At 40.5% G+C, this 24,669-nt stretch overlaps 1 long non-coding RNA gene across 3 annotated transcripts in view; it reads right to left on the minus strand.

Moving 5' to 3' along the window:
- LOC107984901 (uncharacterized) overlaps positions 1–21,089 on the minus strand; it is an 86,734-nt gene extending 65,645 nt beyond the window's left edge. For 2 of the 3 annotated variants that reach the window (XR_001752186.1, XR_001752184.1), the window contains exon 1: positions 6,166–6,368. This is a non-coding gene — a long non-coding RNA (uncharacterized LOC107984901). Of the gene's footprint in view, positions 1–6,165; positions 6,369–20,972 lie in introns of those variants that run through there. The other variant, XR_001752185.2, reaches the window with a different exon arrangement.
- Between the last annotated feature and the right edge of the window lie 3,580 nt (positions 21,090–24,669).

Below are 24,669 nucleotides of genomic sequence, written 5' to 3' on the forward strand. Positions count from 1 at the left end.
TAGTCATGTGGTAAATCAAACCCCTGTAGATATCTGTCAGCCTCTTTCCAGACACTCTTGTGAATGGGTTGATGGATAATGTAGCCATGGTGGCAAAGACAGAGGTGATGCACAGGTTCAAGAGCACAAAGTTAGTTTCAGGGATCGCCATTACGGAGTGTAACCGGGTCCTAAACACTACATAACTGCCTGAGGACCAGCCTGCTGCCTGGTGGCAATTGATTACCTTAGACCCCTTCCTTTGGGAAGGGACAGATATTTGTCCTCTGGACTAGATACTTATTCTCTATATAAGTTTTGTGTTTTGTTCATAATGTCTCCCACAATCCCAAAAGGCATGCAATCACTCAATGCTTTGTTCATGATCATAGTAGTACACACAATGCTGCCTCCTCATTTTATAGCAAAAGTAATAAAGTATTATCTAATGTTCATGGCTTTTACTTGTCTTTCTCAGTACCTTACCTCCTAGAAGTAGTTGGTCTTGCAGAATGATGGAGTGGCCCATGGAATTATAGGCTGTTAGAGACGACAATCTCTTGGGAGACTGAATAATTGTCCTAGGTAATATGTGTTCTGAACAAACGACAGACCAATGTATGACGTCATTTCTCTCATAGCCACACTACAAAGCAGCAGGAAACAGTGGGTGGGAGGATGTGTGGCTCCTCTCACTATCACAACTCACAATCTAAAAAAGTATTTCCTTTATATTTACACAATTCTGGACTTTGCTGGCTTATGGGTCTTGATACCTAAGGATGAAACGCTTTCTTCCACAAAGGTAATGGTTGGTCCATTGAATAGAAATGAGACTTCCTGCTGGCCACTTCATGGTCTTCAAAATAAGTGTTGACTAAGATAATCTTTTCTTATTACAAAGGAAATGCCACATAATGGGAATTAGGGAAAATAAAATGGAACCCAAATGTTTCTAGCGCTGACATTTGTAGAGATAAGTATTAATGGAAAATGGTAGAAACACTAAATTGATCATACTTCCAAGGTTCAAACCCCTAGAAATGAATGAACCTCCCAGAAGACCCCAAGAAGCTGGATGCTGATAGAGGCAAAGGAATATGAAATGGGACATGGAGGAAGGAAGTTTTAAATGCCAACCAAACCTGATGACCCATCTCAGAAACAAACGCTGAAGAAGCTATCCACATTTTTCACTTGCCCTGGTATCTAGATATTTATTTATATTAACTATTTTTATTTTTCCCTACTGTTTCATATGGGATATGTACTCGGTGATTACATTTACAAATTACACTTTAGCTTTCCAGTATCAAGACAGAATTAAGACTAGAAAGTCTATTACATAATTTGGAAATCGGTGCGATGACTGATAAGAATTTGAGTCTTTCTTTTTTAGAAGTAAGGGTGAGGTTTTTTTGTTCATTAAAGAGGCAGGTTTAATTATATTAAGCAAGAGCATATTATTAATGCTATTCTTATTTTCTGGAAGCTTAAGGGGAATAGGAAGAGTAGGTATGGCGTTGAGTAAAAAACATAATGGAATGAGACAGAAAATGCAGAATAGCTCACTTGTTGCTACTCCAAACACCTTCTTGCATTCCTTCTTCACAACAGAAGCCACAAAGCTAAAGATGACATTTCCTTAGCTCTCTTGCAGCTATGGTTCTGCAAGTAGCCTTACTTCATCAAGTAGATGCATCATTATGAAATTAGAAGGCTGAAACAATATCGCACGTGTCTGAGGACACTTGGCTTTTCTGGCATGGTGTAAGCAAATCTTCCTTCTGTGGTAGTTGTATCAGTGTTTCTCATGTTCACTCCCTAGCTTCATGGGTGCTGAGCTTAAACCAGTAGCAGAGGCAAGGGATCAGCTGGAATAGCCATTTGGTAGGGTAGATAGATTATTTCTCCCTGTGTATGGTATCTATGCCAGGTTTCCTAGCTCTCTCAGACCCAGACCTTAAATAAACTACCTCATACCATGTACTGTATCAGAATGGATCTGTTGTATGCAACTAAATCTCAAATATTCAAACAGAAACTATTAACTAACAATAACTTTCTCTAGAAAGGCTCACTTCCTCTTCTTTGCACTCAGTGCCTGCTGTATGCTCTCATAGTTCATCATTTTTCTCACTGTAATATTTTTTATTATTGCTCAACTCTCTCTTACCTCACCCTCTAGAATGGACATATTCTGATGACAGTCCCCTGTAATTTATCCATATTCTGATAAAAGTATATTGTGTTGCCTTTGGGGAACTCCACTCTCCCAATCTCAGCCCAGGTGGTTAGGGCATGTGACCCAAACATGGCCAATCAGCATACTCTATGACCTTGGTTCAGGAGTAAATTGTGATGTAGGGTCAGACCAAGGAGAGTATGCTTGGGACTTCATGTTAGAACTACTGCAAACATGGCATTCTTGCACTGGGCTCCCTTGGGTGACAGAACATAAGTCTGGAATATCTTGACAGATTAGTATCATTTGAGAAGAAATTGAAAATTAAACCAACAGAAAGCAGAACTTGGTGGTGGAGAAAGAACCATTAATTCTGATGACATTATTTGACCATATTTTGGAAAAAAAGTACAAACAAAATGTAAACATCATCTGAAATCCTACCACTCAGAGATAATCTAAGTTAACATGTTTATGACCAGGCTTTCATGTATCTCTAGGTAAAAACATACACATAGTTTTTCCTAAATGCAATCATATTATGTATTATTTTTATTACAAATGTTTTTCATTTTTTTCTATAATTTAATTTTATTTACATCTTGCTATTCCCTCTTTTTCTCTCCCCACTTTCATTTCTCCACCCCACCTTCCAGCAACAAATGCTAAGGGCCCAGTGTTTTTATTTCTATATATTTCTTCCTGACCAAACAAATATAAGTAACGATTAATATACTTATTAGAATTATATTGTTATTGCTGTTTTTCTTGTTATAACAATGGCATTATATTGTATACCTACTTTGCATGTAGCTTTTCTGCTATAACAATACATTATGGAAATATTTCAGGTTAAATGATACAAATTTAATTCATTACAGGTGCTCCTCAACTTACAATGAGGTTATGCCCTGATAAACCCATTATAAGTTGAAAATATTATAAGTCCAAAATGTACTTAATGCACCTAACCTACTAAACATCATAGCCTATCCTGTCCTACTTTAAACATGCCTAGAAGACTTACATTAATTGATAATTGGGCAAAATCATCTAACACAAAGCCTATTTTATAATAAGGCATTGAACTACTCATGTAGTTAATTGAATACTGCACTAAAAGTGAAAAACAGAATGGTTGTAAAAGTACTTGAGATAGAGTTTCTACTGAAGGTGTATTTCTTTTGCACCACTGTGAAGTTGAAAACTCTTAAGTACAACCATCGTAAGTCAGGGACTGTCTATTTTTTAATGATTGCAAAATATTACCCACTGTGGATGTACCATGTTTCATTCAGCCCTTCCTCTATCACTTGATATTTAGTTTGTTTCATTTCATTTGTTTCATTCTTTTCTCTCTCTTCCACTGAAAAACATGCTAGAATAAAGATATCATTATATCCTGGTGTCTTTTTTTAATCAGCCAAATTCCCAGAAGTGGGATTGCAGGGTCAGAAGATCTGTATGTTTCACTTTAAAGGCATATTGCCAGATTGCTTTCCAAAGGGCTAAAATAATTTCCATCTCCATCAGAAATGTGTGATGCCTCTTTCTCTTTGGCATATCACCAGGTCTGAGTGATAATGCACTTAAAATATTTGCATTGTATCTTTAATTAGAAATGTTCCTGATTAGTATTGAGGTTAAGCATCTTTTCATATGCTTATTGACCATTTCAATTTGCCCTTCTCTAAATAAGCTATTCATATACTTTTCTATTGAACTGTCTTTCTTTATTATTAATGTGATGATACACAGGATGCAATCAAAATCACAAGATATTATTTTAGGAAAATATGCAACATACATATGTATGTGTATATTTGTGTGTATGTGTGTAGGACAGATAAATGGCTAATACTTATACTAAGAGGGTCTTTGTGATTCTAAACTTTTGCCCTTAGACAATAGAACATGGCATGGAGAAGAATAAAAAAGCTGGTCGATTTGCTCAGAAATCTATAACTGTCGCAACAGCATATTTGAGAATTTGGAACCCCAATGAAAAGCCCAGTGAAGAAGAGAAAGTTCATTCCAAAAATGAGAACAGAATAGGAAATGTGAACTGAAAATGATGAAGAGAAAAGAAGAGGCTGCAGCTTTAAATAATAATGAGCCAAGGCAGGGCTATTCAGGCTCAAAGTCAAGGGCAGGGGTGAATATCAGTCTGATAAAGGTCACCCCCCACCCTTTTATTCTGTGCCTCCTATGCTGTTCACCACTTTTAACCACAGTGGGGGCATCTCATCAACTACACCATGCAGAGGCCCAGGTCTTCACTTGCTTGTTATTCCACAGCAGATCTAAAAGGTAGAGCACCTTTGTGATCTGTACACTTGGCAAGAAGACCAGAGTCACAAAAGTGTTTGCAGTAACTCTCAGAGCCTGCTCCATTCCCTCTATAGCTGCCAAGATTTGCTCATTGCCAGTCTGTCTTCCATTGTTCAAGTTACCATGACAATATACCATTCTTCAATATAAAGATAACCTTACTGATCCCCCCTTCTTCACATGGCAGTTTAAATCGGTTTCCTGCATGTAAAATGGGTTGTTGAGGCATAATCACAGATATTAGATATGGAAGAAACTTAGAAACCAGCCAGGTTAATACATAGCATGTGCACTCACACACTCTTCCTGTCCACATCCATGGCAGATATCACCAATTGACCGCAGAACCCTCTTCTTTAGAGCCTGAATATAGCTCCAAATTTCTCTTTCATTTGGTGTTCTTTAAAAATGGATCCAACTTCATATATGAGATGAATACGATTTGCCTTCCCTGACCAACTTTATCTAGAGATGGTAAAGGTGAGGATTGAGGGGAAAATGTCTAGTAGCACAAAAGAAGTAACCAGTAGAACCAGGGAGAATGGCATAGGGAGATGTTTGGAAAAGGAAAGAAATTCAACTTACTCAATGTGTTTGTGCCATGTTTATTGAGGTGTTGTGCTTGCAGTTTTGAACATGTTATCTCAAGACAGAAAATAGTTCTACTTTGAGCGTGCTTCATTAGTTACTCTCTTGATCAGTGTCCTTTACAGATATACAAGACAAAGTGCCAAGATCATGGCTCCAGCTGTGGCCAGGGGCCGAGTGATGCTAACTAGGACATGAATGCAGTGTGATGAAAGCCACGACCTCATTCCCCTTATCTTTGTGCTCTCATCATCCACTTCCACTTCAGCATTATGACTTTGAGCCTATGCCAGAAAGAATGGCACTCTTAAAGGAAGCTGCTATGCCTCATCTGGTGATGAGCTCAGCCATGTACAGACTTAATATGTATGAGAGCCAGTTAGCTTGGCCTAGAAAAACTTGCTCTAGAACCACATGTTGTATTAATGGAAAGTACTGTACTTTCCACTTTGGCCAATAACTACCCTTTATCACAAAGGGCCAAATAAGAAAATGAGCAGCTCAGTATAACCCATCTTGTCTGCCAGACACTATCTAATCCCCTCCTTGACACAAAACATTACCATCATCGCCACTGCTGATACGTGGCAAGATTATGGCATAGATATAAAATTGCCATTGGTGATGACATTAAAGTTATCTAACTAATAAGCACTTTGTTCCTCTACTGTTTCATAGAATTTAATCACCATTTGCCATATGCTCTGCAATATCAGAGAGAGATATTTGGGGAAGAAATTCAACAGCTTATAAGTAATAAATATGCATGGACTTTGAGATCAGACAGACATGGGTGTACATCCTGACTCTGCCACTTAATTATGTGACTTTAGATAAGTAACTTAACTTCTCTGAGTCTCAAGTGCTTCAACTATAAAATAAAACGTGGGTAACAATGAGATAATGAAAGGAAGATATGAGGCATAATTCTTGGCATATAGTAAACTTTTCATGAATGCTTAATATTATTAAATATTTTCATATTAAGAGTAAAAAGTAATGAATGGTAATAATTTCTACTATTGTTACTAGTAATAGTAATAGATATTTGCTTGTCTCCCTCAGCCCCCATAATTACTTACCTTCACCACCCTTGCAACCCATTCTTAGCAAACTTTCCCAAATGAGCTTTAATTCATTCCATTTCTCAGAGAAAAGCCATCCTTCCTCCAGCTAGCCATAAGAAGTCCTCTGGAGAGTCAAGTTCAATGTCTGCTTCTGGGAAGCTCTCTCTCAGCACCTAGGAGATGCCCTTTGTTCCTGATCTTCGGTACCATGCCCTCTGGTACTTCTTTCAGTCCACATATGCTTATTACATGCCTGTGTTGTGATAAGCATTACAATCACGCTCTCTGCTATCAAGTGAGATTGCATTTGGGCCTTTGATTTGCTGGTCTCTATTTGCTGTGTTTTCCTGCCTCCCCCACAAATTCACGTGGTTGGATCTTCTCAGTTTTGCAGACGTCAGGTTAAGTGTTGCCTCTGCAGAGCAGCCTTCCTTTATCCTGCTCTTCCAGTAGCATTCCCCACCTCTCCACCAGTTACTCTTCAATCTTCTTACTTTCTTTCTTTTTTTTTTTATATAACTTTTTAGTTATTTACTTTTTAGAGACAGGGTCTGGCTCTGTTGCTCAGGCTGGAGCGCAGCGGCACAATCATAGCCCACTGCAGCCTTGAACTTCTTGGTTCGAGTGATCCTCCTACCTCAGCAACTCAAAGTGCTGGCATTACAGGCATGAGGCACCGCGCCCAGCTCAATCTGCTTTTCTCATTTGTTTTCATTTTTCCATATTTCTTTCCTATTGGAAGGTAAACTTCATTAGAATAAGAATCTTGTGGACCGGGTGCCATGGCTCAAGCCTGTAATCCCAGCACTTTGGGAGGCCAAGGCGGGTGGATCATGAGGTCAGGAGTTCGAGACCAGCCCGGTCAATATGGTGAAACCCCGTCTCTACTAAAAATACAAAAATTAGCTGGGCATGGTGGCACGTGCCTGTAGTCCCAGCCACTTGGGAGGCTGAGGCAGAATAATTGCTTGAACCCAGGAGGCGGAGGTTGCAGTGAGCCAAGATCACATCACTGCACTCCAGCCTGGGCCACAGAGCGAGACTCCATCTCAAAAAAAAAAACAAACAAACAAAAAAAAAAACCAGAATCTTGTCTATCTTGTTCATTGCTGTACCTGTACCCCCAGCATGTAGAACATTACCTAACATATGTAATGAGCTCAATAAATAGCTGCTGGGTAAATAAATAATTTTTGCTTTTTCCTCAAATATTATTAGAAGCTTCAGGACAATACCATCTAGAACAGGTATTACTTTTACAGTCAGTTTACTGTGCTTGAGACAGTATTACTCAACAGTTGAATAAAATAGCTGGCAATAACTAAATTCAATGGGAAGTATTGTTAAGATATGAATCCTTGGCATATTATCACTAGATTATAAGCTCCTTGGGGGTAAAAGTCAACTCTTTTTCATTGCTGTGCTTCCTGTAGTGCCCAGCAAGCATCATTAAATGCACTTTTATAATAAGAGCTTAGCTATGTCAAATGGAATTGAACAGAATAGCACAAGCGTCTGCAGAAATGTTCAAACACCCGCAAGAGGCAACAATAAAACTGCAAACTCACACCCGCTTCCTCTGCAGCATTGGCTCGGATCTTAGAAAAGCACTATCTATAATTAGGATTTTATTCTTTTTATATCCACAGTATAAGAAAGGAGCTCTTACTTTCTGGGTGGCTGGAAAAACAGAAAATAAACCACCATGTGAAACAAAAATGAAGATGCTCGAATTATTTCCGTTTTATTACCAGATCCCTGATTAAATGTGCCTGTCTGCATTTCCTTATTCTTCAGTAGACTCTATTTCTAATCTAAGCCTTGTCATACCTGACCAAATATATCTTTTTCCACTGGAAATTTAGGCTGATGACAAAGATAAGATAGGTTAGTGTCTAGGAAGCATCTTGCAGTTGCTGGGGCTAATGACCTTCTCATTAACTCATAACTCATAATAAGGAGGAAGGTGGTGGCTTCTATTTATTAAGTGCATATTATGTGGCTGGTGCCAATAATATGTTAAGTAAGCCACGTGTATTAACCATGTAGTATTTTACATATATTAAAAAAGAAAACGCCAAACCTGATACTGGTGAAATCTGAATACTGCCTAATAGTTTGGTTGGTATTATTGTACCAATGTCAGTTTCTGGTATTGATAATGTACTAATTTATCTAATATGTTACATGTTAGGAAGCTGGCAGAAAGGTGCAAGAAAACTCTCTACTCTTCTTATAACTTTCTATGGATCTAGAATTATTTCAAAATAAAAAGTTTTTTTTAAATAAAGAAAAAGCAAATCCTGGGATGGACACAAGGAGGTTAAACAGCTTGCCCAGATCACAAAGCTCAAATGTGAAGGGATGGGTCCATTTGAACCCAGGTTCACCTGGTTGGAGCCCATGGGTTAACTACCATTCACTACTTACAGGCCATGCTCTGAATTTCTCCCCCTTATTTCTCTCAAATAACACAAGCTCCTTATCTCCATGTTGTTCCTCACCTTGGCTACCAGGAAGCTCAGAGCTAAGTGATACTAAATTACATCACCTATTGACTATTATTGGAATATCAGTTTCATTCCTCTTGGGTCAGTTTCCTTCTAACATCCACCCACCTTGAACTTTCTTAGATTCATTTTTATCTTTTTTTTTTTTTTTTGCTTTTGGTAAGTCGCAACTCCTTTGAAAAATGATTCCAGATTACAAATAAAGTTAAGGCTCTTTCTCCACAAGCTGTAACAATACTCTTACCTTCAAGTTTGTTTCTGAACCTAGAGATCAATTCATACCACTCAGCCGGTATCCCACAGTACTGATCCTAACACTAGAAATGTAACCAAGGCAAAAGACTAGGTATAAACCGATGGCCTTATGATTGCAAAAGGTGACAGGCCTTTCCTATCTTTATTTTATTTTCTCAAAATTAAATACTTGGCAGGGTTTTCCTTGAGCTAATTAGCATCTCTTCTTAACATTTTAAGTAACTGCTCATTTAGAGCAGTGAATGATTGCTCTGAGATTAGAGTGTAGGGAAAATCTTTCTGTTGGGAATAATCTACTTATGCGGCTGTTTGTTTGAAGCAGAGATAAACAGAGATTTTTTTTTCCTTCTCAACATGCCAGGCGTAAGAGAACAGGGTGATTAATGAAACTCTGCTTTTCACCAATAAATTTCTGACTTCAGATACAAGCTCACAGTTGCTGAGTTTTTTGAGTTAATAAATTTTTTTAACCCACAGGAAAACGAAAATTGCACCATGTAGATTCTAGAACCCATTTAAATCTGTTACATTGTGAACTATTTTTGGTTCTTAAAATGGTTTAGGTAATTTTTCATTGGCTCTACTGGGAATGCCACTTTGTGCTCTGTTATTTATAATCTGCAGAAATTAATTATGCTGCTAATTAACAGCTTGCAAACAAATTATTGCTCAAGGAGGTATTTATTCAGTTATGAAAGCACAACTTCAGGGTTCTATGTAGATCCTTTCTGACAGCTCTTTTATTTCTTGCTTTTGTTTCTGGATTTTTCTGCTTCTAAGATTCAATGAAGTTCTACTTGGAGGGGTGGGGATTAGTCAGGATCTCAGCAGCCAGGAAGTGTGTCAACTACTCTACCAGGAGGAGGAGAAAGGCAAAACAGTTGCACAGCCTGCCTAGTGTGTACCCTGGGGTTGATAAAGAAATTCCTTATGTGAGTGGTGTTTCCTCTAACAACCACTACAAGGCTTTACACCTCCACTTTTGCATTTCCCAGGCTCTCAGGAGAGCTCTGGAGACAATACTGGCATCAGATAAGGGGAAGGTAGAAATGTAAGCATGTGCCACATAGATGACTACACCCCATGCACATGCTTATGGCAGGCAGTAACTGATCAGATTCAGCTCCAGACTCTGAATCCTTCTTGACGCAGCGTTCCAGGTAGGCATTACCTGCAGTAGGAGGAAAGCACCAGTGAAAGTGGGTGGCTTGATATTTCTAACTCATGCAAACAACTCTCCTTCCATAACTAGGCTGTGGGATTGACCAGTGGGACGGGGAAAGTTGTAGATTAAAAAGCTCTTTCTCTCTTGGCAAGATCTCAAAGGGCCAATCAGGACACTGCCCGAGTCTAACTGACCCCACCCTGCCCAAAGAGACACAAAATTATTGGGTCCTGGCAAGAACATAAAGAGCTGGTATTAGTCTGTTCTCGCATTGCTATAAACAAAATCTGAGGCTGGGTAGTTTATAAAAAAATAAGTTTAATTGGATCATGGTTCTGCAGGCTGTACAGAAAGCATGATGCTGGCATCTGCTCAGCTTCTGGGGAGGCCTCAGGAAGCTTACAATCATGGCAGAGACAAAGAGGGAGCCAGCCCTTCACATAGCCAAAGCAGCAAGGAGGGGAAGAGGAGGTACTACACACTTTTAAACAACTGGATCTCACAAGAACTCACTATCACCGATGACCGCACCAAGGAGGATGTTGTTAAACCATTAGAAACCACCTGCCCCCATGATCCCATTACCTCCCATGAGGCCCCATCTCCAACATTGAGGATTACAATTCAACATGAGATTTGGGTGGGACACAGATCTAAACCACATCTGAGCTAGTCCCAGCGGACGGGCAAGTGGAACAGGCCATGACCCTGCAAGGGGCAAGGAGGCCACAAGAAAAAGTAAAAAGAACTCTGGGCAGGGGTTAGTCTATCTGGTTCTGAGTCCTTGCATGCCATTCTGTGGCTGTGAGACCCTGAGTAAGTTACTTCCCTGTCTGGCCCTTAGTCTTTCTCCCTCTGCCAAAAGAGGGAAGTGGGCTCAGGGTCCCTGGGATCCTTCCAGCTCTGCTGTCCAATGTTCCAATGCTGCTGCCGATGTTGGACGCACCTGGAGCCACCCAAGGCCAGGTCTCTTCCAATCAGTAAAATGAAGATGCTAATGAAGATTGTTCTGGCACCTAGGTAAGGGAGCACAGAGCTGGGCTTATGAATCAAACTGAAGAATGTTGAGGATGATAGGAGAAAAGCAGGTGCAAGTGTGAAGGTCATCATGTTGTCTTTGATGGTTGGCACACATGTAGCAGCATTTACCCCCAAATTCAAAGGAACCAAATGCACCTTGTCGTACTGGAGACACTTAGTCTCTGAAACTCCCTTCACTTCAGCATCCCTCCAAGCACATCTTGCTCTCTCTAACTAACCAGCCCACCTTTCTTCCAATCTAGAACTCAAGGCCTCACCTGTTCTAAGCAAATGGATTGGCTGCCTTTCAGCATCTGTCTTAAAGCCAAGAAACAAGGACCCACATTCACTTTATCAGAAAAACCCAGAACCCTGGTCACTTGTAGCTGCAGTTAGATGCTTCCATGCTGCTAGGACCAGAATTCCGCCACAAGCCAGACCAGACGTCCCTGCAGCGTAAGCCATCCTCTCGCATCTCACAGAACTCAAGGCGGCCAGTCCCTGAGACAGCGCCCTCTTCCTGCTTTCAGACCTTAACTCTCCATGTTCAAGGAAACCAGATTTACTCTGGAAGAGTATTCTCTCCAGCTTACAGGTGACAAATTGTCAAGAGTCAAAAACTGAGTGACATTTTCTGAATTCCAACAAACAGATTTAACAATGTCCATGAATACAGCACATTTTTATCATAAAATTTTCCCCTGTACCTTATCTTCCTTGAAGTTTGCAACCAGCCTATGAGCTGAGAATGTTATAATCCCCATTTCAAAGATGACCTTCAAAAAGGTGAAGCAACAGGCCTCAAGTTCCAAAGCTGGGAGGTCACAAAGCTGGGTCTTGACTCCATGACTTATGAGAGTCAATCCTGTTCTGACCCCACATCATGGGCCCCTCTGATGCGTCATTACTCAGTAACTGGCACCGGGAAACTGAGGAGTGAATTTCAGGCCAATGAAGCATCCACGAAACTTCCTTTTTCAGATCCCCCTCCAAGCAGTACCCCTGCTGTCTGCAGGGTCTTCCAGCCTTCCAGGAAGCCAAATGCAGCAAAGCAATGAACATGGACTGGATTTGAACTCTGGCCCTTACCTGATTAACTGCCTGATGTCAGACAAGTTCCTTAAATGCTTTGAGCCACAGTTTTCTTTTCTGGAAAATGGCAATGATAAACTCTTACCATGCACAGAGAAAAATGTACAAAGACGTTGGTCACAGTCTTGTTTATTATAGTAAAAACAGGAAACAATGTAATTATACATCAGTAGGAGACTGAACAAATAGACTGATGTTTAGTCATAAGACGGAATACTCTGCCACATTTAAAATGAACAAACTAGATAGTAGAGAGAGAGAGAGAGAGAGAGAGAGAGAGATGATAGATACAATTAGGTGGATAAATCTAAAAAACCAGGAGTGAATACAGCAAAATGAAAACAATAGGAGGTATATAATATAATATATGGCATATATCCCTTATTTTAATGTTTATGCATCTATCTACTAAAAGAATAAAAATATGATTATGAATGATATTCAACAACCTACTGATATTGTTTCCTCTGTGGAGGGAAAAAGGTAAAGGCACATGAGTGAAAATGTTAATGTTTCTCATATAAGCACTACACGATTGCCTTTAGGTCCAGTTCATGTTTCTAGTAAAGTTTCAGTAATTTGGGGTTTTTCACGCTGAATCCTATTTTAGATGTACCTTGTAAGATCAATATTTAAAGGAACCTTTGATAATTTCAGCCTTAGCAAAGGATCCTTCTGTTATGTAATTAGTCAGCCCCTAATTCTGTCTATAGCTTAGACTAATACTTCAAAACTGTTTTCCAAAAGATACTCATTCATTCAACGTATATTTAGTGAAGGCAAACTATGCCAGTCACTGGGCTAGGAGAGGCATACAGAAATAAATAAAGTAAATATGGATCCTGCACTCTGAGAGCTTACAGTTGGGGAAAAAAATTAACAAGTAAACAAATCGTGCAAAATTCTGTGAAAGAAGTGAATACGGTGTTATAATTTTATATATTAAATACGTATATATGATTTTAGGTGGATAAATCCCAAAAACTAAGAGTGAATAAGGCAAAATGCAAACAATAAGAAGTGTATAATACACCATGTGGTAAAAATCTTGTACTTTAACATGGCAGAGTCTCAGTTACCTATTGTGTATAATAAACGACCTCAAAATTCAATGTCTTAAAATAGCAACTTTACTATGTCTCACAATTCTGTAGGTTGACTGGATGGTTCTGCTTTCTGAGTTGTTGGTTGGGGTGTGGAGATGGCTGGAAGGTCCAAAGTGGCCTCACCCATAAGCTGGGCAGTTAGTGCTGGCTGCCAGCTGGGAACTCAACTGGGTCTACCAGCCAGGGCCCCAGTTCTTGCCCACAAACGGCATCCTATGAGGCTGCCTGAGCTTCACCAGCATGGTGGTTGAGTTCAAGAAGGAGTGTTCCAAGTAGAAAAAATGGAAGCTTTGTACCTCCTAAGGTCCAGCCCCAAAATGACACTGGGTCACTTTTGCCACATTCTATTTATTAAAATAAGTCATGGGCCCATCCCAGATTCAAAGGTACAGAAATTCGGCTCTACCTGTTCATGGAAAGACATGCAAAGACTTGACGGCAACATTTAGTCCACCACCCAGAGGTAAGGATTGCTTGTACTTAAGGAACACTGGGTACCATATCTTTTTCTTAGATATTAACTATGTTTACAAAATGAAGTTTCTAAGAAGTCCTAAAGTAAAGATCATTACTTTACTTACCTTTATAAAAATGTTTCATTTATTTCAACCTGTATATATTTTTTACTTTTCTAACCCAGTATTTTCCAAAGTTAGTTGGCCAAGGTGCTCTTTTTATTCACAGAATGCCTAGAACTAGCATTTTTGCACTCAGTATGAGAAATGACTGTTTTAAATGAAATAGATTTTTGTAGCTTAGAGTTGCTTAAAGCAGGGTCCAAATGACAGGTATCTTGTGTTCCTTGGAGTAAAAGTTCTTCTGCATAAATCAGAAAAATTAATAAACACTGCAACACAGTCTGCATGACAAAGCCCAGACCTGAGACAGGGAGGGGCCTTCAGCAAAGAGGGAAGGAACGGGATCTGGGTTTTGTCACCTGCTCAGGCCTCCCCGGACTTTCAGCATTTCTCTGTTAATGCCTCTGGCCTAGAAATGACAAGCTCTAGAATTTAATTTGCATCTGGAATAAAAATCTATGAGTAAAATGCCATCAACCTGTAATACTACAACCACCTGGACAATTATTAGAGATGAACTGCTGTGAGTCACATGGAAGACCACTGTACTCCTCTTGAATGCAATCCAGCATGCAGCAGACAGGCTGTGATGTTCAGCAGACAGGCTGTGATGTTCAGCAGCCTCGGCGGCCGTGTTACAATTGAATTACAAGGGGGAAAACAGCTCTGTGCTGATTTCATAATTATCATGATCTACTATTATGATCCATCACCAACGGAGCAGTCAGCGAAGCCGCAATAAATCATCGTTATTTATATTGCAACAAATCACGTGGAAGTATCATCGAGAATCATAATTCACACTCGCTTCAGATCGTAATTAGCTATATATGACTGTCTAGGTATGTCGTGAAAGTAACACAAGAAAAACAAATTATAACCAGTGCTGTCTTGAAGACTTGGTTTCTCTAAACAAGTTTTTAAGCTTTGCAAGGAGGAAAGCCAAGTTTTGCTATTTCTTTCCCCCAATATCTTTTCTGGGTTTTAGGGGATCACATCAGAAGTGGGCTGAGTTCTAGGATCCACCTTTAAAATGAACGCTGGCCAACACTATAAGCTCTTAGACTTGACATTATTCTTGTGAAAAACAGCTAGAGAGATTGGGAATATTTATCCTCGTGGAAATATGAGTTGCAAGAATGAAATATTTGGAGGATTGTCCCATAACTGTGCTGCCTCAAGAGGAGTCAAGCTCTGTCTCCACCGGTGGGCAAGTAGGGACTAGACAGGATTATGGCTCCAGATAAAAGCTGGTTAGATAAAACATTTTCATATATTTTTTAGCCACCAAATTCTCAGAATCAGTAACAGTGCTGTGCTGGCCATATTGGAAACTGATTGAAAAGGAAATACCAATAATACTGAGCTTGTCTTCACTTAAAATATTACAACAAAATTGTGATATTTTGTTCATCTTTTTGCATTAATTTTAATGTTTAAAAATATTTCGGTAAAGTGTTACTTATCTAAATTACTGGTTTTGAGGTGCTCCCTTAGATTTTGCAACCTAGATGAGTGCCACAGGTATTCATGCTAGTCTTACCCTGTTGAATTTTCTCAACAATTCCATAAAGTAGATACGATTATGATCCCTACTGTAGAGATGAGAAATCTGAGGCCCTGGCAGGTTAAGTGACTTGCCTAAGCCATGCTCTGGACAGCCCTGAAACTTGCTAGAGTAAGAACAACTCACAGACTTCTTTTGTCTCCTTTACTCCTACACTATATTGCTGAATAATGAAGCTGAATTAGAGTGATTTTCAGTCAGAAGGAAGAGACCTAGAGTAACAATGGACCATAAATTAGAGGAGGAGATTGGCCTTACGTGCAGCACACTTCATTATTCACCATAGAGCAGGAACGCTTAACAAAGAAAGGGTCTACTACCTTTACAGGGTCCAACAACGAACAACTCCCCCAGTGTTATCTAAAAAGGTGTGTGTGGTGTGTGTGTGTGTGTGTGCACGCACACGTGTGTGTGTGCGTGCGCGCGCGTGTGTGTGTGTGTGTGTGTGTGTGTGTTGGCCAGAGGGGGTCTATAGGTGTCATCAAATTCTCAAAGTGATCCTTGACTTCCGCAAGTTTAGAATCACAGCTCTAAGAATTTGGATAACTTTCACTATGAAGTCTTACATTAAATGATCTGGAAACAATCTTCAAATTGTTATCTATCACAACCAAGGTGTCTCCAGGAGAGCAACATGCAGTTATTGGAACCAAATATTGTTCCTCTCTACAAGCTTGGTTGGGCATAAGTTATTAACAGTCCCCTAATAAAATAACTTTAGAGATCACCTAGTCTTAAAACCCAATCTTAAATTCATTTTATTTATATGTCAATAAAATGAGGCTCAGATAAATGGTATGACCTGTCCCCTGTCCCAGCTGAGTCATCACAGGGCTGAGTTAAATCTAAAGCTAGGCCCCTGAGCACCCTTCTCCATTCAAGCATCTGGCTTCCACTGGAAGAACACACCTAGGACCCAGTTAACTCAGGTGTGACTGACCAACAATACTGACATGCTCTAAGGTCTGAGCCACTGGTGCACATAAGCTAGTGCTTTATGTACGTTAGCCCCAACTCACCTGGGACTCAAACCCTAAGCCTCCACTTCTTTGTATCTTCTTTCAAATATAGACAATTGTGAAGCTTTTGTGAAGACCATCTGCACTAAACCAGAGACTCCCTTTAGTTTGGGATTTGGAACCAACTACCCTGTAATTGGCACTACTCCCCAGAATCTTATGACCGCCCTCTCAGAGGGCCCAATTTCTAAAGAATTTCTCCCTGAAGCCAACATGTATGGTGGTGATTATTCTTTAAAAATAAAGAGAATCTGGCTTCAGAGAGTGCATGTGAAGCCTGGTCTCAGAAATGGTAAATGATCTCATTTGGAAATAAAAGGGCTTGATAGCATGGTTTTCCAATAATTAAATTAAGGAATGCAAAAAGAAACAGAGCTGAAGATGGCAGGACTGGACAGATAAGCTTTAATGGGGTCTCAGGCCTCAAGAAAGAAAAATGATTTAACAAGGTAGAAAAAAGGTATCAGACAAAAATCACTAATAAACATTATCAACAATTTGAAAGTGGTGAAGTTCCCACCTGTCATGTGTTCAAGCTCATTGTGAGCCAAAAACTTCTGGGCACACTGTGGGACACACAGAGAGAGAAGAAATAGCCACTGTTGGCCAGGTGCATGGACTCATGCCTGTAATCCAAGCACTTTGGGAGGCCAAGGTGGGTGGATCACCTGAGGTCAGGAGTTCAACACTAGACTGGCCAATGTGGTGAAACCCTGTCTTTACTAAAAATGCACTGTTGGCTGGGCATGGTGGCGGGCACCTGTAATCCCAGCTACTAGGCAGGCTGAGTTGAGGCAGGAGAATTGCTTGAATCCAGGAGGCAGAGGTTGCAGTGATCTGAGATGATGCCATTGCACTTCAGCATGGGCAACAGGAGCGAAACTCAGTCTCAAAAAAAGAAATAGTCACTGTCCTTGGGGAGTTTACAATCTAGTTGTGTTGTTAAGCGTAAAGCATAGCAATCAATCAGTGAATAATGTGGCATACTGCATAAACATGGTGCCATTATCTTGGAGAAGAGAGCTACCAGTATGAGTTGAAATAGCAATGGGAGGTAAGGCCTCCAATTAAGTAAGCCCTAACTACAATCTGCTAGGAAGGTATTTACCACCTCCCGTCCTGTGCGTGCACCTCTGCACTCTATTACAGTCCGAAGCTGTCTTCCAGTGTCAGGTTAATTCAAGATGAACTTGTTGTATCAGTTGGTGCAAAAGCAATTGCAAAACTGAAGTTTTTATATATCCAAAGGCCAGAAAAGGGACAAATGTGTTATAAGGCTACAGGTATTCTGCTGGGTAGGACTGCATGTAGATTAAAACACAGCATTAGGGCTTTTTTTGAGAATTGTCTATTCATGTCCTTTGCTCACTTATTAACGGGATTATTTGTCTTTCTTTTTAATTTTTTTATTTTGTAGACATGGGAGACCCCTATGTTACTTAGGCTGGTCTCTAACTCCTGGGCTCAAGTGATCCTCCCACCTTGGCCTGCCAAAGTGCTGGGATTACAGGCACGAGCCACTGTGCCCAGCCTGTTTGTTTTAATTGTTGAGTTATTTGAGTTTCTTGTATAGTCTGGAAATTAGTTTCTGGTCAGATAAACAGTTTGCAAATATTTTCTCCCATTCAATAGGCTGAAATGATAAATATTCAAAGTGCTAGATACCTCAGATACCCTGACTTGATCATTACATGTTATGCATGTAACAAAGTATCACATTTACCCTAGAAATGCATGAAATATCATGTATCAATTTTTTTTTTTTTTTTTTTTTGAGACGGAGTTTCGCTCTGTCGCCCAGGCTGGAGTGCAGTGGCGGGATCTCGGCTCACTGCAAGCTCCGCCTCCCGGGTTCACGCCATTCTCCTGCCTCAGCCTCCCAAGTAGCTGGGACTACAGGCGCCCGCCACTACGCCCGGCTAATTTTTTGTATTTTTAGTAGAGACGGGGTTTCACCGTTTTAGCCGGGATGATCTCGATCTCCTGACCTCGTGATCCGCCCGCCTCGGCCTCCCAAAGTGCTGGGATTACAGGCGTGAGCCACCGCGCCCGGCCCATGTATCAATTTTTAATGCATACAAAAATATTAGGCAGTCAGAGGTATTTTGAATTTCTTTCTCAGATCTTTGAGATGATAAAGGAAAATAGAAAGTTGGCTGTATACCTGGAATAGAGCATTGCACCAACATATTTCTTTTTTTTGTTTTGTTTTTTTTTTTTTTTGAGACAGGGTCTTTTTCCCATTGCCCAAGCTGGAGGGCAGTGGCATGATCATGGTTCACTGAAGCCTTGACTTCCTGGGCTCAGGCGATCCCCCCACCTCAGCCTCCTGAGTAGCTGGAACTACAGGCCTACACCACCACATCCAGCTATCTTTTTGTTTTTATATTTTTAGTAGAAACAGGGTCTCACCAGCTGGGCGCGGTGGCTCATGCCTGTAATCCCAGCACTTTGGGAGGCTGAGGCAGGCGGATCATGAGGTCAGGAGATCGAGACCATCCTGGCTAACACAGTGAAACCCCATCTCTACTAAAAATACAAAAAAATTATCTGGGTGTGGTGGCGGGCGCCTGTAGTCCCAGCTACTCGGGAGGCTGAGGCAGGAGAATGGTTTGAATGCAAGAGGCAGAGCTTGCAGTGAGCCGAGATCGCGCCACTGCACTCCAGCCTGGGCAACAAAGTAAGACTCCATCTCAATAAATAAATACATAAATAAATAAAATAAAATTTAAAAAAAGATATGGGGTCTCACCATGTTGCCCACGCTGGTCTTGAACTACAGGGCTCAAGTGATCCTCCCTTCTCAGCTTCCCAAAGTGCAAGGATTACAGGCATCAGCCACCACACCCAGCCCCAACATATTTCTTGAAAGCACTCCCTCACACTCACACTTAGGAGTAGAAATGTATAAACAGGAGGCTGGGAGAGCCATGGACACCAGAGGAGGGTTGGGGCTACCACAGCTGGAGGAAAGCCAGTAAACCAGGAAGGAGGAGACATTGGAAGAAATGGAGAATTCTAGAGGAGAGAAAGAGTTAAAAAGACAGAGACACTGAAAAGGGAAGAGAGGTATAGAGGGGAACTCAACAGGGCACGTGCTGGCCTCAGGTCTTGGTAGTGAGGCCACTGTGACTTCACAGAGCACAAACCAGAGCATGGATTGATTGGAGCACCACCACAGGCAGTTTCATCACCCTCTGCTGTCCCCTCTACCATGCCATCTTGCCCCTGTATGATGTAAATTTTTATCACTAAAAATATCAACAAGTGAAGAGATTTCTGAACCTCTGTTTTTGTGTCTATGAGGTATGTGCAGCAAAAGTGATGAAAACACAATTGCTGAAGTTTTTTTATTGAGTTGGGTGAGTGCTTTCCATGAAATAACTCATTGAATCCTCCTAGGGATCAACAAACAGAAGGTGCAAATCACTGCCTCTTTCTCCATCAATGATGAGAAATTGAGATCTCTTTAGTGGGAAATTTTGGGGAAAAGCGTTCACTCTTATAAGACCCTCATGTAGAAATAAAAAAACAGTAAGATGATGGCCTTGTTTTCCTTCCTTCCTCATCTCTCTCCAAAGCATCCCCACCAATAAAGAAAAGCTTTAGAATCCCTATGGCCAAATAAAGAGCCTGGTACCAACTTAAACTACAATTCAATCCCCCTGCTCCACCCTGAGCCAATGTAAGCATTCCTCTGGTCTGTGAAACAAACAAATCAACAAATACTCCCTTGATCGAGACATACATACTTTGTAAAAATGTCCTTGACATAAACTCAAGTTTTCCTTTGCACGTGCACACACACACACACACACACACACACGCTCCCCTTATTGAATAAGAGTATCCTCCAACCCTTGGAAATTTACTGTATAGCTCATCTTTTCTAATACCTGATCCTTCCCAGAGTGGTCCTTATAGTTATCTTGCAGATAGTGCCAAGGCCTTACCAGCCCACTCCAAAGTAGTGTCCCAGTCACCCCATCTCGCTTCCACATCTCGATACTCTCACCCAACACTGGGCACTGCACAGTCAAAAATGAGTACAGTTCATGTTCCTGACCATTGATCTGCCATCAATTTTTTCCAAGCCTGAGGCATGCGATTATCTGCAAAGCTGACTTACAAGATAAAATCCCCAGGCCTCTCCCCTTCCCCTCCTCCTCCAACAAGCAGACATTGATTTTACACAGAATGTGCATGGCTTTGATGCTGTTATTGCAATCAACATGAAAAATACCACCACAGTGCTTATCCGGACGTCTCAGTTGTTTTGCCTCATAGCACAAGTGATTGTTTAAAGAGGCTTGACACTGTTGGAGTCTTTTGTTTTATGGATTTTGCAAAGCATTGCTCTTTGTCTTTTGGGCTAGCAGAAGAGAGAGCTCTTTTTTCAAGGCAATGGGCAGTGCTTTTAGAAAATAGGATCCAAGGTGTGGACTGCTTCAGGGGTATCTTTAGCTCTCACACTTATGTGCAATTTTTCCTAAGGAAAGGCTGCACCTACCTGGTCTGTACCTTTAACTTCCTTCTTCTGGCCAGATTACCCTCTGAACGTTGACCCCCATCTGTTCACCATGATATTCTGCCATCCTTATTCCATCCTGATCCTAAGCAACTAAACAGGCTGTCTTTGCCCCCCTCTCAGTTTTATCTCTCTACCTCTCTCTTTCTCTACCTCACAGCTGACCAATTATCTGACTCATCTGATCCCCAGCAAAAATAAACAAAGAAACTTGGCACAAGCACCATTCACTTGCTACCCCCCCCAAGCAGGCAAAAAGCCAGAGGCTGAAACTCCCCCTTCTCTTCCCTGCTTGTAGCAACACAGGCACTTGTACCATTCTGTTCACCCACCTCTCCCATCAGAATGGGACCCCCGGAAGGCAGAAACTGTTAGACATGTTTTCTGCACTTTTCTTGGCTTGTTGCCCAATTAGTGCTGACTTTGAATTACAGGGAGAAATAGGGTGAAGGTAAGGATTTAACTGGAAAATTGTGAGGTCATATATCTGAGAACGATTGCTAAATTCTCAAGAAGGTTATTTCAACATAGGCACTATTGACACATAGGACCAGATACCTTTTTGTTGTGGGAGGATGTTCTGTGCATTATAGGACATTTTATCAACATCTAAAAATGTCTTCAGATATTACCAAATATCCCATGGGGGGCAAAATCACCCTGGTAAGAGCCACTGCCCTAGTGTATCATGGGCTTATGAAACTGACAATGCTAACACCATGTTCATGAAAAGACGTTAGCGTTAGGAGAAAATGAGCTGTAGGGTTTCCAACATAGGATCATTTCACATCATGCCTTTCCTTACTTCTAGTCACCACATGACTCCCTACCAAACCACATAATGATTTTGACCCACCCACCCTTCTGAGAATCAGCATGAAACCATGCATTCCTATTGACCCATGGAACATCAAAACTTCCGGCTTTAAATTTCATCCCTGAATTTATTAGTCAGTGTTTGGGTCCAACTTAGGGTTCACAGCTTCTTAGAGTAGATATAGAGAGCAAAGCTGGAAATTCCTGGATAATAGCCTTAGAGAAACAGATCTAGGCTTAGAATCAAGGCAAGTGGTTATGGGGCCCAGATCTTCCCCTGGGTGCCATGGGGCATCTCCTCTTCCCTCCATGGGCTAGGCTTCTTTAGCTTTCATTCCACGGAAAAGGGCAGAAAAAGAAGAGAATGCATCAGACCAAGAGTTTGCTAAAGGTTATCTCAGGAGCCACATTAGGAGATGAGAGAAAACATGAGATGAAAGATTCCAGGCTGCCCCTTGAATCAAAGCCAATCAGAGTAATTTTCCTCTTAACTATTCTACATACTGGGCTTCTGGGTTAAATGTCCTTCCCACCCAAAAGAGTGTTTTAAGATTAAACATGCCCGTGTATGTGCGTGTATGTGTGTGTATAGATACATATGTTATTGTTATTAAAGACTTAAAACCACTAGACTTGATAACCTCAATGAACCCATCTAGTTCCAATATTCTAGAAAAACTCTCAACATAGAAATAATTTTATGTACAAAAATGCTTCAATGGCCACTAAAAGTCAGACTTGGGGAGTGCAGGAATTTGACCCATTCCTCCTTCACTTTACCCGTGGCCACAAAATCCCTAGGTGGCCCCATGGAAAAGGACCAAAAATAAGGTGCATTTTGGAAAGCCTGAATTTAAAGAATAAGGGGGAGGGCAGTGAGGGTACAGAGGGAAGGTTGAGGGTTTACCACATTTTTTTCCTCCACCATACTCCTCTCCCCCAGCCCCTTTGCCTATTTGCTCAGAGCTTGCAGCCTCCATCTAGCAGTGCAGGCAACATTTCAGCTTCCCCTAGCCCCTCCAAGCCTCTGAAGAGGACTGGAGCCCTCGAACTTATTTCTGAAGCCGGAGCTCTTGATAGCAGGCCAGCCGGGCAGCCCTGACTGCACAGACTTCTCCCTGAACCCCGTGGTCCTCCTGTTTTATTAATACTGCACATAACGAGCAGATGCAGCCTGAGTGGCAGCTACAAAGACACTCATCTCCTAAAATGTGATATTTGATCACAGGAGGATTTTGCGGTGGGATAGCTTATAATCCTAAATTTAAATGCTTCCCGAATTTCAGAGGTTCCAGTATTAAAATCCTTTTAGGATTTTTCAAAGTGTGTAATCTGTTTAGAATTTTTTAAGAACTCTCTGGCCCATTCTTTCTCCAAAAATAGGCCTGTTACATTTTTAACTTCTTTAAAAAAAAAAGAGAGAAATAAAGAAATGTCTTTTTAAAAAATTATTTTGTTGTTTATTTGACTTAAGGGGCAACCGTTTCTAAGACATCCAATGAGATATTCTTACTAAAATGAAGTGAAACTTCTTTCAGTGACTGCAAATAAAACTAGAAGAAACATTTATTTTAAAAGGGATTAAGGAGAGAGAGAAATAAGAAATTATGCTAAGGGAAAACAAAAAAATAGAAGTACACCAGAAACAAATACAGAACTCTCTTCTTCCTTCCTCTAAAACTCCCCATAACACCACGGAAAAGAGCAGGCTGGTGGCTTATTATAATTAAAGTGATATAGATTAAAGTGTGCAGAATAAGTGTTCCCTTGAGTCCAAGAGGTGCTGAATGAATGAAAGGGAGGAGGAAGTGGGGGGAGCAGAGAACGAAGATGAAGGGAGAGAGAACCAAGGAGACTAGGCAGCTATTGCCCATGCTCAGCTATCTAAGCAAACCTCAACCCAGGGTAGACCTGGGACTTTCCTGGCTACTGAACAAGTTAGAAAAGTGTCCTCAAAGACAGTCTACAGGTAGAGATTTCCTCAGAATGGCTGAACCTCATGGACAAATTTTTCCATGTGATTTTCATTCCATTTTCATCATCTGTTATAACATAAAATTTCATCAACTGTAAATGTCAGTTCTTCCCTTTATTATTTGCTAATGTCATAAAAATCTGAATTGTTTGCTTTGTTAAAGGGCTTGCTGGGCATTGACTTTTCCTTATTTGTACTTTACCACCCCAAATGTGTGGGGTTTATTTATTAAAAAAAAATAACATCCCTTTTGAAATGGGATTTAAATAACAGAGCAAGGTTTGCCATTATCATAAATGTATAAAGTGCTTTGTGAGTAATAAAATGGATCATGGATTCAGGATAATTCAAACTGAAATGTTATGTTCAGTATCAAGATTAGATTACGTTAATGCAGTTCATTTTAAATGGTTTAAAGGCCATCAGATGCATGTGAAAAGAATCTGTATCATAACTTAGAATAAATAGACTGAGACATTTGTTTATAATGTCAGTGCTAAACAAATCTATTACTACATTTCTGCATGTTGCGTTATATTACCACTGCTATTAAACAAACAGAGCATGAAGATAAATTATAGCTTTAATTATAAACATTACCTTTGCGTATTTATTAATTTAAAATGGAACAGTGTTCAATAACCTTAGGTTATTTATATCAGCTAACATTTTAATTAACTTTGTTGTATTTATGCGACTTGGTAATTGTTGCTACCAGGCACATGTAGCTCCTTGAATAATGGAGGCAATCTAACCTATCCCTGTGAATATTACCCATTAAATGAGATGGTAACATTGTAACTCCTGCCAGAGAGTCAGACTCTGCTGCTCAGCTCCCTGGGTGAGGAGCCCTAAGGCTGCAAAACTTGACTTTCTCCTTGGAAACCA

This window comes from Homo sapiens, chromosome 16, assembly GCF_000001405.40.
Source record: "Homo sapiens chromosome 16, GRCh38.p14 Primary Assembly".
Classification (NCBI taxonomy): domain Eukaryota; kingdom Metazoa; phylum Chordata; class Mammalia; order Primates; family Hominidae; genus Homo; species Homo sapiens.